The sequence below is a fragment of the Homo sapiens genome, chromosome 1, assembly GCF_000001405.40.
Source record: "Homo sapiens chromosome 1, GRCh38.p14 Primary Assembly".
NCBI lineage: Eukaryota > Metazoa > Chordata > Mammalia > Primates > Hominidae > Homo > Homo sapiens.
This window is the reverse complement of record NC_000001.11, coordinates 101,347,445-101,366,496: the sequence shown is the minus strand read 5'-3', so window position 1 is coordinate 101,366,496 and position 19,052 is coordinate 101,347,445. Positions and strand designations below refer to the sequence as shown.

The following is a 19,052-nucleotide window of genomic DNA, read 5'->3' as shown; positions in this document are numbered from 1 at the left end:
ATAATGAGTCCCTGTTTATCCGTCACACAGCTTTCACAGTTATTATCATCTTGCTGATCTAGTCTACCTCCACCTTTTCTATTTCGCTTGAAAATGCTAAAGAAAATTCCAGACTTTGTATAATTTCACTTCAATAGGTAGCTTCAGTTTTTGAACATACACAATTTGAAATATCTACCCTAGTTATGAGACGATAGGATCTTTCCATTGATGCTTTTTTGTTCAAAGTGATAAATACCACTGCTTTAATAGGCCATTATTCCATCCTGACCTTTTAAAGGTCAAATGATTCTCTGTGTTCCTGGTCATCGCATACTAACTCAAACATGTTAAACAAACATTAATCTTCAAAAAAAATCACAGAAAGAGAACCCTCCCATCTGACCTACATGACATGCCCCTTGGGAAATTACTAAGCATATTTCAAACTATGTAGAAGGCCCAGGAATTTAAGGCTACAGTGACCCATGATCACGCCACTGCACTCCAGCCTGAGCCACAGAGTGAAACTCTATCTTAAAAAAAAAAAAAAAAAAAAAAAAGGATTAAAAGTCTTTACCTACCAAGAAGTCAGATCTCCCCATTCCTCAGTGATGCACCATTAGTCCAACTTATTCCATTTATTAATACCGGGTACTTGGTAAATGACAAAGCATAAGTCAATCACTAGAGAATTAAAAATACATCTTGAGACTAAAATATCAATGTATCCACTTTCAGGGTCATGTCTTACATAAGCAGAATAACCCAAGCAGATTTGGCCACTTAAAAACTCAATTCCAATCAGGCAGGACCCACAGGAAGCAGCATTTGCTATGTCCTAATGTTCTTATTAACCCACGTAAAGGTAGAGTTTTAAACTTCAGAAAGCACTCAGTCACTTGATATTTATTTTTTTAAAATCAGTAGTGGAGACTAAATTGTTTCTTTCTTTAACCATTTGTTTTTTATTCCCAGCACAGTAGGAGGTAAGTGTAGTTCCAAGGAGAATGGGGCAAAACCCAGAGGCCAGCCCTCAAACTCAAGAAACACAGCACAAAGCTGTCTTTCCAAAGCTATGTGGTTCCGAGCCCAGGCTTATGGTATCCAGCTTTTCCACTGTGGTTTTGAAACGCTGGCATCTCCTTCTAGGTCCTCCATGAGCTCACACTCAGAACTAAGAGTTATGTTTGTCTTAGTAAATTCCTATTTTCTGACACTAACATTCTTGTTATGGCTCTTCCATCCTGGCATCCCCTCCAAGCTCCGTCTGCAGGACATCCTCCCTTTTCTAATGTCACCTTGTGTCCTGTCTCCTGTCTCCCATGGAGTAGACATCCTTTCAGCTTCCTTATCCCCCTCTGGACCCAAACAAACGGACTTCCCAAATGTTGAGGGACTTAGAGGCCTTTTCCTGCTCACCTAACGTCTACCTTTTCCTCCTAAAAACTTATCTTGTTGGAAACCCTTCATGGGACTAAGCCAGCTTTGCAATTTAAGATGCTGAGCTGCACAACAGGAGAGGTCAGGTGACAACAGAGTGGAAAAATCAGCAGAGCACTTGGAGAAAGAGCCAATGGACAATTTCCTTAATCCTTCCATCTCCTTATATGTCCTGTGATCTTTTTTGTCACTGCTTGGGCAGTTTCCTATTACAATTACACTGCATTTCAGCATCAGACAGCTCATCTCTTTTCCTTTTTAGGAGAAACTAGGGAGATACTGTCCTTCTATAGCCCCTGACCCAGCAGTTCCCCTGGCCTCTGGAGCTCCAGCCTAGTGCCAGATCAACAAGGGCTTGCAACCAGAAGACCCCTGAAGTTCTCTAAGGCTGTCTGTCTTTTCACTCACTACTAAAATAACTCCCCTTTCAGCAACACATATAAGTCATCCTGACAGCTCCAGGATTTATCTAGAGAAAGGGTTTAGTGGTGACAGTCAACCTGAAAAGGGAGCTGTGGGACTGGCTGTGAAACTACATTTGCATAGCAGGTCCATGGTTTAGGGGTGGATTATATGTTCCAAATGAGTTTTTAAGATACTATATTTTTGTACGGATATAATACACATAATACATAACATTGTTTTAATTGTCTTTGTCAAAGGATGGGCGATTCATGAAGATTGTGAAGGTAAAAGGCCCTAAATCGTCCCTTGACTACTACCATGGTTCCAGTCTTTCCTTAGACACTGAATATACTGAGTGAAAAGTAGTTTCTTCACTTCTCCCCCATCATATGGCATTTCCTCAGGGCTGAAGGCTATAAGCCAGCTTGGGGTAACACCACAATGGAGGTGCTGCTGAGCCTGCATTGTCTGAGGCAGATGCTTAGCAAGGGAAGCTCCTCACATTCACCCACAGAAAGTGAAAAAACACAGGGGCTCAGGCCCAGCTCCCAGATTTACTGAATCAGACTCTCAAAGGCTGAGGCTCAAGCACAAGTATCACAAGCACCCCAGGTGATTCTGATGCATAGCCCTGGACAAGAGGCCTGGCCTAATGAGAAAAATCAGGCAATTTGAGTGGGGATACCTAGGTTCAAGTCACACCTCTGCCAAGTGTTATTCACATGGCTCAGAATAACTCATTAAACCCTGGGCACTTTTCTCATGAGTAAAATGAAGACAATAATAGTGCCTGCTCTGCTCTCCTCTAAGGTCATTATAAAGAGCAAATGAAATGACAGTTGTGACATGTCTGCAGCCCTTAAACTCTCAGCTCTGTCCAGTTGACCACTTGAGGGACCTGCACTCTCGCCATCCAAGGACTTGGAGGCCTTCCTTGTCTATGATCTCAGGAAGGCATGTGTTTCCCTTATCTCTGCTGGATCTCAGCTATTTCCATTGTATTAGTTCATTTACATGCTGCTGATAAAGACTTACCCAAAACTGGGAACAAAAAGAGGTTTAATTGGACTTACAGTTCCACATGACTGGGAAGGCCTCAGAATCATGGCAGGAAGTGAAATGCACTTCTTACATGGTGGCAGCAAGAGAAAATGAGAAAGAAGCAAAAGCAGAAACCCCTGATAAACCCATCAGATCTCGTGAGACTTATTCACTATCACGAAATTAGCATGGGAAAGACTGACCCCCATGATTCAACTACCTACCCCTGGGTCCCTCCCACAACATGTGAGAATCCTAGGAGATACAATTCAAGTTGAGATTTGGGTGGGAACATGGCCAAACCATATCACTCTGCCCCTGGCCCCTCCAAATCTCATGTCCTCACCTTTCAAAACCAATCATGCCTTCCCAGCAGTCCCCCAAAGTCTTAACTCATTTCAGCATTAATCCAAAAGTCCACAGTCCAAAGGCTTACCTGAGACAAGTCAAGTCCCTTTCACCTATGAGCCTGTAAAATCAAAAGCAAGCTAGTTACTTCCTGGACACAATGAGGGTATAGGTATTGGGTAAATACAGAAGTTCCAAATGGGAGAAATTAGCCAAAACAAAGGGGTTACAGGGCCCATGCAAGTCTGAAATCGATTGGGGCAAATTTTAAAGCTCCAAAACGATCTCCTTTGACTCCAGCTCTAATATCCAGGTCACGCTGATGCAAAAACTTTCCTCTGGTCTTGGGCATCTCCACCTTTGTGACTTTGCAGGGTACAGCCTCCCTCCCAGCTGCTTTCACGGGCTGGCATTGAGTGTCTGTGGCTTTTCCAGGAGCATGGTGAAAGCTGTTGGTGGATCTACCATTCTGGGCTCAGGACGGTAGCCCTCTTCTCACAGCTCCACTAGGCAGTGCCCCAGTGGGGACTCTGTGTGGGGGGCACTCACGCCACATTTCCCTTCTGCACTGCCCTAGTGGAGGTTCTCCATGAGGGCCCTGCCCCTGCAGCAAACTTTTGCCTGGGTATACAGGCGTTTCCATACATCTTCTGAAGTCTAGGCGGAGGTTCTCAAAACTCAATTCTTGACTTCTGTGCACCTGCAGGCTCAACACCATGTGGAAGTTCCAGCTTTATGTCATAACCTTATTCGGCGAGGCTTTGATCGCTTTTCACTTCCGCCAGATATTACAGTGGTCCGTTACATTGATGACATTATGCTGATTGGATCCAGTGAGCAAGAAGCAGCAAACACACTAGACTTATTGGTGAAACATTTGCTTGCCAGAAGATGGGAAATAAATCTGACTAAAATCCAGGGACCTTCTACCTCAGTAAAAGTTCTAGGGGCCCAGTGGTGTGGGGCCTGTCTAGATACTCCTTCTAAGGTGAAGGATAAGTTGTGCATTTGGCTCCTCCTACAACCAAGAAAGAGGCACAATGCTGAGTGAGCCTATTTGGATTTTGGAGGCAACACATTCCTCATTTGGGTGTGTTACTCAGGCCTATTTATCAAGTGACCTGAAAGGCTACCAGTTTTGAGTGGGATCCAGAACAGAAGAAGGCTCTGCAACAGGTCCGGGCTGCTGTGCAAGCTGCTCTGCCACTTGGGCCATAAGACCCAGCAAATCCAATGGTGCTTGAGGTGTCAGTGGCAGATAGGGTTGCTGTTTGGAGCCTTTAGCAGGCTCCCATAGGTGAATCTCAACAGAAGCATCTAGGATTTTGGAGCAAGGCCCTGCCATCTTCTGCAGATAACTACTCTCCTTTTGAGACACAGCTCTTGGCCTGTTACTGGGCTTCGGTGGAAACTGAACTTTTGACTACGGGTCATCAAGTCACCATGCGACCTGAACTGCCTATCATGAACTGGGAGCTTTCTGATCCATCTAGCCATAAAGTGGGTCATGCACAGCAGCATTCCATCACCAAATGGAAGTGGTATATATGTGATCAGTTTTGGGCAGGTCCTGAAGGCACAAGTAAGTTACATAAGGAAGTGGCTCAAATGCCCATGTTCTCCACTCCTGCCACCCTGCCTTCTCTCCCCCAGCCTGCACAGATGGAATCATGGGAAGTTCCCTATGATCAGTTGACAGAGGAAGAGAAGACTAGGGTCTGGTTCACAGATGGTTCTGCACAATATGCAGGCACCACCTGAAAGTGGACAGCTGCAGCACTACAGCCCCTTTCTAGGACATCCCTGAAGGACAACGGTGAAGGGAAATCTTCCCAGTGGGCAGAACTTGGTTGGGCAATTTTCATGGAAGGATAAATGGCCAGATGTGTGATTATATACTGATTCATGGTCAATAGCCAATGATTTGACTGGATGGTCAGGGACTTGGAAGAAGCATGATTGGAAAATTGGTGACAAAGAAATCTGGGGAAGAGGTATGTGGCTGGACCCCTCTGAGTGGGCAAAAACTGTGAAGATACTTGTATGCCATGTGAGTGCATGCCACATGCACCAACGGGTGGCCTCAGCAGAGGAGGAGTTTAATAATCAAGTGCATGGGATGCCCCACTCTGTGGACACCACTCAGCCTCTTTCCCCTGTCATCACTCAATGGACCCATGAGCAAAGTAGCCATGGTAGCAGGGATGGAGATTACACATGGACTCAGCAACATGAACTTCCACTCATGAAGGCTGACCTGGCTACAGCCACTGCTGAGTGCCCAATTTGCCAGCAGCAGAGACCAACACTGAGCCCTCAACATGGCACCATTCCTTGGGGTGATCAGGCAGCTACCTGGTGGCAGGTTGATTATGCTAGACCTCTCTCATCATGGAAAGGGCAGAGGTTTGTCCTCGCTGGAATAGACACTTACTTCAGATATGGGTTTGCCCATCCTCCATGCAATGCTTCTGCCAAGGCTACAATCCGTGGACTCATGGAATGCCTTGTTCACTGTCATGGTATTCCACACAGCATTGTCTCTGACCAAGGCACTCACTTAAGTGGCTAAAGAAGCATGGCAGTGGAATCATGCTCATGGAATTCACTGGTCTTACCATGTTCCTCATGATTCTGAAGCAGCTGGATTCACAGAACGGTAGAATGGCCTTTTGAAGTCACAATTACAATGCTTACTAGATGACAATACTTTGCAGGGCTGGGGCAAAGTTCTCCAGAAGGCTGTGCATGCTCTGAATCAGCATCCAACATATGGTACTGTTTCTCCCATTGCCAAGATTCACAGGTCCAGAAATCAAGTGGTGGAAGTGGCACCACTCACCATCACCCCTAGTGATCAACTAGCAACATTTTTGCTTCCTGCTCCCGTGATCTTACGTTCTGCTGGCCTAGAGGTCTTAGTTCTAGAGGGAGGAACGCTGCCACCAGGAGACACAACAACAATTCCATTTAACTAGAAGTTAAGATTACCACCTGGACACTTTGGGACCCTCCTACCTTTAAGTCAACAGGCTAAGAAAGGAGTTACAGTGTTGGCTGGGGTGATTGACCCAGACTATCAAGATGAAATCAGTCTACTACTCCACAATGGAGGTAAGGAAGAGGATGCATGGAGTACAGGAGATCCCATTAGGGCATCCGTTAGTATTACCATGCCCTGAGATTAAGGTCAATGGGAAACTACAACAGCGCGATCCAGGCAGGACTATAAAAGGCCCAGACCCCTCAGGAATGAAGGTTTGGGTCACTCCACCAGTACAAAAACCACAACCTGCTGAGGTGCTAATTGAAGGCAAAGGGAATACAGAAGTAGTAGAAGAAGGTAGTTATCAATACCAGCTACGACCATGTGACCAGCTGCAGAAATGAGGACTGTAATTGTCATGACTATTTACCCCTTCTTTTGCTAAAAACATGTTTGTGCATGTATATATACACTTGTACTAAGAAAAAAATCTTTATTTTATTTCCTTTTCTTTTATCATGTGACATAAGATTTATTAACTTCATATCAGCATTTAAGTATTGTTAACTTTATGTAATAGTATTTGGGTTGGGGATTGGTGTGTTTCTGGTTGTACAAAGGATAGTTGTATTATGTTAGGCATAATTATGACCTTATTATTGTCTTTATTTGAAGATTATGCATGACCTCAGGAGATGCATATAGGTTCAAGTCGACAAAGGGTGGACTTGTGATGGTTAGTACTGAGTGTCAACTTGATTAGATTGAAGGATACAAAGTATTGCTCCTGGGTGTGTCCGTAAGGGTGTTGCCAAAGGAGATTAACATTTGAGTCAGTGAGTTGGGAAAGGCAGATCCACCCTTAATCTGGTGAGCACAATCTAATCAGCTGCCAGTGAATATAAAGCAGGCAGAAAAACATGAAAAGGAGAGACGGACCTAGCCTCTCAGCCTACATCTTCTCCTGTGCTGGATGCTTCCTGCCCTCAAACATCAGACTCCAAGTTCTTCAGTTTTGGGACATGGACTGGCCCTCCTTGCCTCTCAGCTTGCAGATAACCTATTGTGGGACCTTGTGATCCTGTGAGTTAATACTTAATAAACTCCTCTTTGTGTATATATATATCCTACTAGTTCTGTCCCTCTAGAAAATCCTGACTAATACATCCATTGCAAGGAAAAGACATTCAATTGACCTCAAAAGATGAGTTTGTTTGTAAGCACAGATGTGGAGCAGAGCAGAACTAGAACTGGACCTGGAACCAGGAAGCCATCAGAAACTAAGGCAATTCTAGTGATCGTCAATTTTCTCTAGCACTTTCCTCTCGGCGATATAGTCTCTGGCAGGATATCTTTGCCAGCTCCTGCTTGTCCTCTCTTCATAACCCCACATGGAGCCTCTATGCATACTTTCAGCTTCAGCTACAGTCACCGACTATCTAATATTCTCAGTATTTTCCATTTCAAACACCTGAAAGAAGAAATACAACTGGATGGCAACCTCTGTCTAATGTCAAGTCAATAATCTAATATGTCACTAGCTAATTGTGGATCAAGTGCTCGTCTCTGTCCAAATAATAGTTACAAAGTAGGCAAGGAAGGGAGGAGAACAGAATGGCCCTGGCAGCACAGGAAAGTCTGCTCAGCAGTGGCTACGCACAGGTCTGTTTCACTGAGGAAGGACAGAGGGCCGGCAGCCTCCATGATTGACATCTCTAATGTAATGCCTTAGTTCTTTTGTCCTCAGGTATAAAGCAATGAGACAAAATGTTCATTTTGGCTGTGATAAAATCACAAGATTACTTTCCTAGAGTGTGAGGTTATAAAAGATTATAAACTATACGCAGGTCAGCAATTTCAGCCACAGTTAGAGCCCGGCTTTGAACTGCCTGGGCTTATTTAGAGCTCTTGAGCTCAAGATATCAATGTTCAGTCACTTCTGCTGCCTCTTGTGCCTCCTGGAACCCAATGCTCCGTTTCTGGTTCCTTTGTTTATCTCTGCCCTCTCTACTTCCTAAACGCAAAAAGTCCTTCTTAAACTTCCCAAGCTATTGGCGATTGTTAGTCATGATCCACAAAGCTCAGTTAAGGATAAACACTAAATTCAAGTTTTCCTGGTTGTCTAAAGAATGCTCTTCCCGTGGTGGCTCATACCTGTAATCCTAGCTCTTTGCGAGGCCGAGGCGGGAGGATCCCTTAAGGTCAGGAGTTCTAAACCAGCCCGGCCAACATGAAGGAACCCTGCCTCTAGTAAAACTACAAAAAAAATTAGCCAGGCGTAGTGGCAGGCACCTGTAATCCCAGCTACTTGGGAGGCTGAGACAGGAGAATTGCTTGAACCCGGGAGGCAGAAGTTGCAGTGGGCCGAGATCACGCCACTGCACTCCAGCCTGTGGGACAGAATGAGACTCAGTCTTAAAAAAAAAAAAAAAAAAAAAAAAAAAAAGAATGTGCTTCTACAATCTCCAGTTTCTGCAAGTAACCTTCCCTTTCCCAGGCTTGGAAATAACTAAAGGCTCGGGTAACTATCCCAATATAATGCTATTTTCCCAGGCCACAGTGACCCTTCATTAGTATTGTACTGAAAAAAAAAAAAAGGCTTTATCCATCATGCTTTCACCTCCAGCTTGCCTCCTGTCCCCAAAACCCCAGTCTCCTGCAAGCTACTGCAGACTCCTATTGGCTGGTCTATTGTCCCAACTATTGCTATTCTTTACTCTGCCACATGGTGGCACTGTTCTCTGACAGCTTCTCCCCTACTCCTGGTTTAAAAGATGATGATATCAGATTTGTGAGAGTTTCTCCCTCAGTCTAGTGTGGGAATGAATATTGCTCTGTATCAGACTTCCAAATGCAGGCTTTTCTCTCTCTGTTTTTATGCCCCCCTCTTTTAAGGATCTGCATAAAGGAATGTTTGAGCCTCATCTGCCTTCATTGAACTTAAAAGAGACTCCTCTCCTACTGAATGTGAACCAGGACCTAAAGACAGGATCCAGGCTCCTTGACTCTCCTAACTTAAATTCAGTTCCCTGACTCCTGCTGGAAGATGTACATTCTGACATCCTCAGGTGCATCCTTTAGTCACAAGTCAAACTAAAACTACATCCAACTAAAAGGCTTCTGCACAGCAAAGAAACAACAGTGTGAAGATACAATCTACTGGTTGGGGGGAAATATTTGCAAGCCATACATCTGATAAGGGGTTAGTATTCAAAATATATCGGAAACTCGAACAGCTCAATAGCAAAAAAAAAAAAAAAATTAAAAAATAGGCAAGGGACTGCAATAGACATTTCTCAAAAGAAGACATACAAATGGCCAAAAGATATATTTAAAAATGCTCAACATCACTAATCATTAGGAAAGTGCAAACTAAAACCACAATGAGAAATCACCTCATACCTGTCAGAATTGCTATTATCAAAACAGGCAAAAGATAACAAGTGCTGCTGAGAATGTGGAAAAAAGGGAACCATTGTATACTGTTAGTGGGAATGTAAACAGCCCTTATGGAAAAACGTATGGAGGTTCCTCAAAAAACTAAAATTAGAATTACCAGGTGATCCAACAATCCCACTTCCGAGTATTTACCCAAAATTGAAGTCGGTTTTTTGAAGAGGTCTCTGCACACTCATGTTCATTGCAACACTATTCACAATAGCCAAGTTATAGAATTAACCTAGGTGTCCAAAAACAGATGAATAGATAAAGCAGATGTGGTAAATACACAATGAAATACTATTTAGCCTTGTAAAATAAGGAAATTCTGTCATTTTCAAAAATATGGATGTAATTAGAGAGTGAAATAAGTCAGGCAGAGAAAAACAACACAAATATTTCATGTTCTCATTCATATGGGGAATCTAAAACAATGAAACTCAAAGAAGCAGAGAGTAGAATGGTGATTACAAAGGCGCGGAGTGTGGCGGCTGAAGAGGGTGTGGGAATGGGGAGATTATAGCCAAAGGGTGCAAAATCTCAGACAGGAGTAATAAGTTTGTTTTTTTTTTTTTAATCTAATGCATAGTGTGGTGAATATAGTTAATAAGAGTGTATTATACATTTCAAAATTGCTGACAGAGTAAATTTCAAAGGCTTTTACTGCACACACACACAAAAAATTTGCATCAATAGATACATTAATTGGCTTGATTTAATTATTCCACATTGAATTCAAAAATCATAATATGTTTTACCCCATAAATGTATACAATTATAAAGTGTCAATTTACAATTTTTAACAAAGTCATTTGTGCCATTTTCCCCAGGAGGCTCCCCACTGGTGACCGCTGGGATGTCCTCCCTCCAGCTCTTCACCACCCTCAAGATCTCCCTCCACCCTCTCTTCGAGCATACAGGGAGAAGAGCTAGGTTTGGGGATCAGAACTGCAGCTAAATTCCGGTTCCACCCTTACTGGCCACTGGCCAAATTCTCCTTGCTAACTCAGTTTCCTTAGCTACAAAATGAGGATAACAGTAGTAAACTTTAGAATTAAATGAGGTGTCATATGTAAAGCCGCTGACATAGTACTTGGTATATAGTAGATGCTCAGTAAATGCTAGCTCCCTTTTCTTGTCTCCTTTATTCAAGCCTGGCTCCTGCATTCTAAAATCTGTGTTTGTCCAGGCTCCAGGGCCCCTCAGTCTAATCCACTTTCCATATATAGCTCTATTGGTTTACTTATCTAAATAGCAATAACCAATATGATACACAGAAGATAAAGGTTTGACTACAGGATTATGAGAAAATGCAAACTTGTATTTTTTTTAGGATACAGTTTTAAATGATAAGACCTATTATTATCCAAAATAATAGTGGCTTCAACAAGGTTAAAGTTTTTCTCTCACAAACTGGAGTCAGGTGGTAGTAGCTCTGCATGCAGGGACCCAGGCCCCTTTTATGTTGTCACTTGTCTATCCTAGAGTATTGCACTAGTCTCTAAAGTCCAAGGGGCCTGCTCCCATATCTGCATTGCAGCCATCGGAGAAAGGGAAAAGCACAGAAGAAGGGTAAGCCACCTCCCGCTTAGGACACACAAGAGTTGTACAGCTCTCACTTCCTTCATATTTAGAATTCAGTCACTCAGCTCCAAGGAGGCTGAGAGGTCAAGGAGGCTGCTATGTGTCAGCTGAAAAGCCTATTACTACGGAGGAATGGGAGAAAACTGGCAGTTTCCGCTACAGAGCTAATTAGGAGTTTTTCTCCACCAAAACAAATAGCAAAGCCAGAATAATCCATGGAAGCCAAAAACTATCCAAGCTGCAAGTAATGACCCATTTGTTTCAAGCAAATCCATAAAGAAAATTTAACATCAGCTCCAAACATATATAAATGACAAAGACTTTCAGCTCAATCAAGGGAATATGGCCATATAAGAAAACACTAAACATTTTATCCTATAAAATCACCAATCCCTAAAACTGGTGGGAATCTTAAAAGAGATTTAGTACAAACTTCTGCTCTGTGCAAGAATTCCCTCTACAGTAATCTTGACTAAAGCTATCACCAAACATTTTCGGGTGATGACTTGAAGGTCGCCGTTGCTGGGAGTTGTGGGCAAAGGCAGAAAGAGGGAACCAACAGGAGACAAGGTTAAGAGCCTGCACTCGGGGCGCAAAGCCATGGGCAAAGCAAGGTGTGAAAGCCCCAATCCCAGGATCAGGCAAAAGTACAAAACACAGAGGGGGCAAGGGATTTTCATTGGTTCAGGTCTAGAGGTAAGTTTGCAAAAAGGTCATATCTTTCCTGCAACATAGTTTTGGAAGCCCCAGAATATACAATTTTGCCACAGGTGTCTATAACTAAAAAAGTAGCTCTGATAGGCTGGGCGTGGTGGCTCACGCCTGTAATCCCAGCACTTTGGGAGGCCAAGGCAGGCGGATCACGAGGTCAGGAGATCAAGATCATCCTGGCTAACAGGGTAAAACCCCGTCTCTACTAAAAATACAAAAAAATTAGCCAGGCATTGTGGCGGGCGCCTGTAGTCCCAGCTACTCGGGAGGCTGAGGCAGGATAATGGCATGAACCCGGGGGCGGAGGTTGCAGTGAGCCGAGATCGCGCCACTGCACTCCAGCCTTGGCTATAGAGCAAGACTCCGTCTCAAAAAAAAAAAAAAAAAAAAAAAAGTAGCTCTGATAATACTGAATTCAAAGAGACATTTGGGTGGAGATTTCAAGTAAACACCTAGAAACGTCTATTTGGGGCTCAGGGATAATGTCAAAACTGGATATATTTAATTAGCTGTGCAAAGGTTAGGCTTGAGATAGAGTTCAAAGAGCAAAAAGATACAGAAGTAGGAGAAGCTGGGAAATAATCTTGCTTTTAGAAAATGGAAAGTAGAAATATTACAAAAGAAGAAAGATGAAGAACAGTTTTTAAAATAAATAAACAGAAGAAAGGAAGGAGAGATAGAGAGAAGAAGGAAGAAAAACAAGTGGCTCTCATATGAAGTCCATGGAAACTAAACTGTAATAGTCATTCTAAAACTTGGCAGCTGGGTCTGCTTTCTAAGGCATCATTTTGGGGTGGCCTTTGTTCTGCATGATGTTATGGATAAAAACTGGAAGGAGCACCTAGCTCAGAAGGATTCCACATCCCTTTGTTTTGATGAAATTCCCCATCCTCCAAATCACAGGCTGGTTCCTACCCAGTTAAATTAATTACAGTGCCTCAAGGCTTTACCACAATGACTGAAGCTCAGGTGGGCTCATGACCCAAGCCAAGCCAGTATCAGTCTTTCCCTGAGGTCTTTTATAAAACTGGAACTAGAATAGAGAAGCTTTTCTCCTCGTGCTCTGTGTTGTAAGAATGTGGCCCTGAAAGAGCCAGTGGACACATGGACACATCCCCTGCCCATGTATAAGCCTGAGCCAATAAAACCAAATAGCAAAGCAGAGAGGTACAGACAAAAGTGGAGTTAGAGTCCTGAGTGAAGGCACTGTTTGACATCGGTGAAGGGTGTACATTTCTGCAGGAGCCCTCCTTATGGGGCAAGGTATTCCCCAAGTGCCAGCCCAGTAACGTTTCCTGAGGTCAAGCTTAGACCTACATTTGGACGACACAAGAAGTCATTTTTAGTAGTAATTGAAGGATCTGCCCCATGTTTTAGAGGGGACACAGTTAAGAGAAGAAGGATCTCCTCCCTGAAGCTGATTAAATGAGTAAATAGGAGTTACCAGCAGGATACATAGGTGCTCAGGAAAATGGAATGTCACCAAGGTCACTGGCAGTGGAGGCAGCAGTCTGGTAATGAGGCAAGAAAACAGGATATGGAAAAAGGCAGTAGCCTGGGGTAAACCAACTCGAGATGGCAAGAAGACACGTACAGAAATTGATACAACTGTGTTATTTGAGGTGGCAGGCTTATAAAAACATATAAATGATTTTAAACATTTATATGTTTTTAAAACATTAAAAATGTTTTAAACATAAGCATAAAATGCTTATAAAAACAAATGATTTTATTTAGTCATATAAATGTCGTATTACACGACAGAATAAAACAGAATTTATATGACAGAATAAAAATCTATGAAACATAAAATAATTCCCTGGAAATTTCCAAAGATGTTGGGAAAGAAAATTCAGTGAAACACTAGAATTCCTACAGGTAAGCATAATAATTCAAATATAAAAGGTTATTGTTGCGATTATAGCTTGGTAAGGGTTAGGATATACAGATAACAAGGAAAATGTTTCCAAGGGTTGGTGTAAGTGAGGTCTCATACTCTAGACAGAAAGACAAGGATGAAGATCAAGAAAATGCCATTGGACAGAATGACCTCTTTTATTAGTGACCTTCAAAAGAGTTTTCGAAGTAAAACGATGGGGCAGAAAGCAAATGTCTTGACCTGGACTTGATACTTACACGTCAGAGAGGGTGCTTTAAGAAGTAAATGAGGCCCGACGCAGTGGCTCACACCTGTAATCCCAACACTTTCGGAGGCCAAGGCAGGTGGATCATCTGGGGTCAGGAGTTCAAGACCAGCCTGACCAACATGGTAAAACCCTGTCTCTACTAAAAATACAAAATTAGCCAGCCATAGTGGCACATCCCTGTAATCCCAGCTAGTTGGGAGGCTGAGGCAAGAGAATCGCTTGAACATAGAAGGCAGAGGTTTCAGTGAGCTGAGATTGTGCCATTGCACTCCAGCCTGGGCAACAAGAGTGAAACTCCATCTCAGAAAAAGGAAAGAAAGAAAGATAGAAAGATAAGAAAGAAGAAAGAAAGAAAGAAAGAAAGAAAGAAAGAAAGAAAGAAAGAAAGAAAGAAAGAAAGAAAGAAAGAAAAAGAAAGAAAAGCAAATGAGGTGACTTCTGATAAATCACTTAGCACAGAGCAGAGACAGGATGCCAGGAGCAAGGGATAAGTGGGGACAGAGGGAGAGTTGAAAGAGAGGCAAACCAGGCAATAGACTCCTCCACTTGGGGCCACAGGAAGTGCCTGTTAGGAAAGAAGGGAGGAAAGACAGAAAACCATCTGTGTCTCTTGTCAAGTGATCTTCATGAGTGGATGCTCACACTGCCATCCAACACCCACACTGAAATAAAGTGAGAGGCAGAGAGATGGCATCTTGTGTTCCCACCTTCCTACTAGAAAGAACACACACATACAGAATTACCCAGAAGGCTCAGAGAGCTTTGTCCTCAGAGATACCAGTAATAAGATACTACATGTGGGGGAATTATAAAGTTGGGCAATGGTCACTAGATAAATGAATAAACAAAATGTATTATATACATACAATGAAATATTATTCTGCCTTAAAAAGGAAGTAAGTTTTTTGATACATTTTACAACGTGGAGGAACTTTGAAGACATGCTGAGTGAAATATGCCAAACACAAAAGGACAAATATTGTATGGTTCCATTTACATGAGGTAGCTAGAATAGGCAAATTAAAAGAGACAGAAATAAAATTGGACATTACCAGGGGCTAGATGGAAAATAGGGGAATTACTGCTTAATGGTTATAGAGTTTCTGTTTCAGTTGATGAAAAAGTTTTGGACATAGTGCTGATGATTGCATAACATTGTAAAGGTAATTAGTCCCACTGAACTGTACACTTAAAAATGATTAGAATGAAAAATATTATTTTATATATGTTTAACATGATAAAAATTATTTTAGGCAAGGCAAAGTGCTCATGCATGTAATCCCAGCACTTTGGGAGGCCTGGGTGGGCAGATCACGAGGTCAGGAGTTCAAAGCCAACCTGGCAACATGGTGAAACCTCGACTCTACTAAAAATACAAAAATTATGCAGGCGTGGTGGCGGGCACCTGTAATCCCAGCTACTCAGGAGGCTGAAGCAAAAGAATCACTTGAACCCAGAAGGCAGAAGTTGCAGTGAGCCGAGATTGCACCATTGCACTCCAGCCTGGGCGACAGAGCAAGACTCTGTCTCAAAAAAAGTATATATATGCATATTATATCTATAATATATAATATATTCTATATATAGAATATATAATATATAATATATTATATATAATATTTCATATAATGTATATAATTTGTATATATTTATATAATATATAATATATATAATTTATATATGTTATACTTATATATATTATACATAAATATATATATATTTTTAAGTTGAACACTGGATGTTGAGCCTCTAATTAACTAGTTTATCTCACTGCAGCATGAAAGAGCAAATGTATCAATAGCCAGACTTCCAGGAAGTCCCTGATAGGCATTGGGTAGGCCAGCTCAGAGAACTTCTTTCTCTATATACACTACCCTTTCTCCTTTCATCTGGTTCCATGGCCTTTTAAACTTTCTGTTTCTTCTCAGAATTCTCTAGTGTCCTTCAGTTCCAAAGCTGCTATGTTTTTCCTTGACATAACTTCTAAGCCCACTCTTGCAAAGGCATTTAGCCTCTGGCATGGCTTATGAAAATACAATCAATCTCACCTACCACCATTTCCAGTGCTTCATAGTAGGATGAAGGTGTCCCAAGGTAGAGTAGTGATTACAGTTTCTCCCTAAATAGCTTAAAAATTATTATAACACATAGCCTTTCCCATACTGCAAAAAATTAACTGTCCTGGAAAAATGAACTTTCATTGGTTTTTCTTACACAATCATGGCTTACCTGATAGCATCATTCTTACATGATTTTGCTGGTATTTATCCTTGTCTTGACCTTCAGTTATGTTGTAATGATCTCTTTCATCACCTGCACTGACAGGAACCATTTCTCTTGTTTAACTCTTGAATGATTCACGTGGGAGCTGGGGAGTGAGATGGCGGAAAGAATGGGAAGGGCAAACGTTATATATATGCTTCCAAAATAAAATAAAAGGATACAAGATGAAAGTAAAAATACATGGGTTAATAATGGAGAAGAAATGAGATACTTTTTACGGTGAGTTGAGATGGTGGTAGAAAGATTGGCTGAAGATAAATAGAAATCTCAATGTGGAAAAGAAGTCAACAAGATCAGGTAGCATGGTCTCAATCATCTGTTAAGCCAGACACTCTGGATATCACTGTTCAGCAAACTATGAATCCAAATTTTTCCATCTTGCCAGCAAAAAGAATCATTTGTCCTTTATTAACATTAATTAAGCATTTATATGGAGTTTGTTTTGTTTTGTTTTGTTTTACAGTCAAGGTCTCCCTCTGTCACTCAGGCTGGAGTACAGTGGCTTGATCTCAGTTCACTGCAGTGTTGAGCTCCTGGGCTCAAGTGATCCTCCTGCTTCAGCCCCCTGAGGCTGAAGACTACAGGCTTCAAGCTGGGACTATAGGCACACATCAGCACACCTACCTAGAGACGGAGTCATACTATGTTGCCCAGGCTGGTCTTGAACTCTTGGCTTCAAGTGAGTCTCCCGCCTTGGCCTCCCAAAGAGCTGGGACTACAGAAATGAGCCACTACACTTGGCCTAATTGAGCATTTATATGTAACACGCTAGTAAGGTGGAAAGAGAAAAAATACATTTGGCAAAGTCTGGCTCCTGAAGATCTCAATGGCTAGAAAAGGGGGGAAGAGTAAAGAAATAACTTCTATGCTATCTAATAAGTGCAATAATAAAGATATATATATAAGCTGTTATATGAACATAAGAAAGGGAATACCTAGCTCTCCCTGAAGGTGTCAGAAAAGGCTTTACACAGAGGTGACACTGGCTTTGCATTGAAGTATGAGGAGGAATTTGCTAGGTAGAAAAGGAGTTCAGAACATAGTAAACAGAAAAAAGAATGTTAATAAGGGCAAATAATTGAAAGTTTAGTGTGTCAAAACAAGACTAGCAAAATGATTAGGGAAGCAAAATCAGAGGTTTATGCAATGCTCCGTAAGGCAATTGTTTTGCTAGGAAAGCCAGAAACAGACTATGAAAGATTTGCAGGTTAAACTAGGATGCTGGGATAAATTCGTGAATGGACATCAAAGAGCCAACAAAGTTCTAAGTATAATCAGCTCTATTTTTAGATAAATCTGGTAGCAACATGGAGTGTGATTCAGAGTGTTGAGAGAAAGGTGAGACATTATCACAGCAGTATAGGAGAAGTGAGGAGCAAAGCACCAAGGGTAACTAGGAGGATAGCATCTTAGAAGACTGGAAGTTTGACTTAAAAAGCACACACTAGCAGATTAGAGAAAAAAGAAAAAAAAAAAAAAACAAGACCCATCGGTCTACTGTCTTCAAGAGATCCATCTCACACTTACTGATAACCACAGGCTGAAAGTAAAGGATTCACTGTTGTTGGTTTAAAGTCTGTTTTATCTGATATAAGAATAGTGACCTCTGCTCTTTTTTGTTTTCCATTTAGGGTGGAGGTCACTGTTCTTATATCAGATAAAACAGACTTTAAACCACCAACAGAAAAAGCACAAAGAAGAACATTACATATTGATAAAGATTCAATTCAACAAGATTTAACTATCCTAAACGTATATGTACTAAACACTGAAGAACCCAAATTCATTTCAAAAAATGCTTGTAGATCTACAAAAAGACTTAGTCACACAATAATAGTGGGATACTTCAATACCCCACTGACATTAGAGAGCTCACTGAGCAAGAAAACTAACAAAGAAAATCTTCACTTAAACTCAACTCTTGACCAACTGGACCTAATACACGTCTACTGAATACTCCACCCATCAATCACAAATTATACATTCTTCTCATTGGCACACAGAACATACTCTAAGATAGACCACATGCTTAGCCATAAAACAAGTCCCAATAAATTCAAAAAAATTGAAAGCACACCAGCCATACTCTCAAATCACAGTGAAATAAAGACAGAAAATGATACCAAAATGATCTCTCAAAACCACACAATTACGTGGGAATTAAACAGCTTTCCCCTGAAAGACTTTTGGGTAAACAATTAAATCAAGGCAGAAAAAAATTATTTGAAATAAATGAAAACATAGACACAACATACTAAAATCTATGGGATGCAGCAAAAGCAGTGTTCAGAGGAAAGTTTATAGTGCTAAACACCCACCTCAAAAAGCTAGAAAGATCTCAAATCAACAATCTAACATCACACCTACAAGAACTACAAAAGCAAGAGCAAACTAACCCCAAAGCTAGAAGAAGAAAATAAATAACTAAAATCAGAGCAAAACTGAATGAAATTGGCACACAAAAATCCATACAAAAAAACAACAAAACTAAAATTTGGTTCCTTAAAAGGATAAACAGGATTGATAGAACACTAGCTATATTAACAAACAAATATAAGAGAGAAAATCCAACAAAACACAATCAGAAATTACAAAGGTGACATTATAACTGATCCCACAGAAATAAAAAGGATCCTCAGAGACTATTATAAACACCTCTACTTATACAAACTAGAAAATCTAGAGGA

At 41.5% G+C, this 19,052-nt stretch overlaps 1 long non-coding RNA gene across 1 annotated transcript in view, besides 2 other annotated features; it reads right to left on the bottom strand.

The window, feature by feature from the left end:
- Positions 1 to 19,052, bottom strand: part of LINC01307 (long intergenic non-protein coding RNA 1307) — a 53,477-nt gene that overhangs the window by 10,817 nt on the left and 23,608 nt on the right. Inside the window, exon 4 of the long non-coding RNA NR_126402.1 lies at positions 16,312 to 16,450. This is a non-coding gene — a long non-coding RNA (long intergenic non-protein coding RNA 1307). The remainder of the gene's footprint in view (positions 1 to 16,311; positions 16,451 to 19,052) is intronic.
- Positions 1,877 to 1,976: a silencer, noted in NCBI's record as "silent region_1125". NCBI's record gives its function as "represses an Ori minimal core promoter by ATAC-STARR-seq in GM12878 lymphoblastoid cells {active_cell/tissue: GM12878}" and the evidence as "EXISTENCE:reporter gene assay evidence [ECO:0000049][PMID:35858748]".
- Positions 2,407 to 2,476: an enhancer, noted in NCBI's record as "active region_1401". NCBI's record gives its function as "activates an Ori minimal core promoter by ATAC-STARR-seq in GM12878 lymphoblastoid cells {active_cell/tissue: GM12878}" and the evidence as "EXISTENCE:reporter gene assay evidence [ECO:0000049][PMID:35858748]".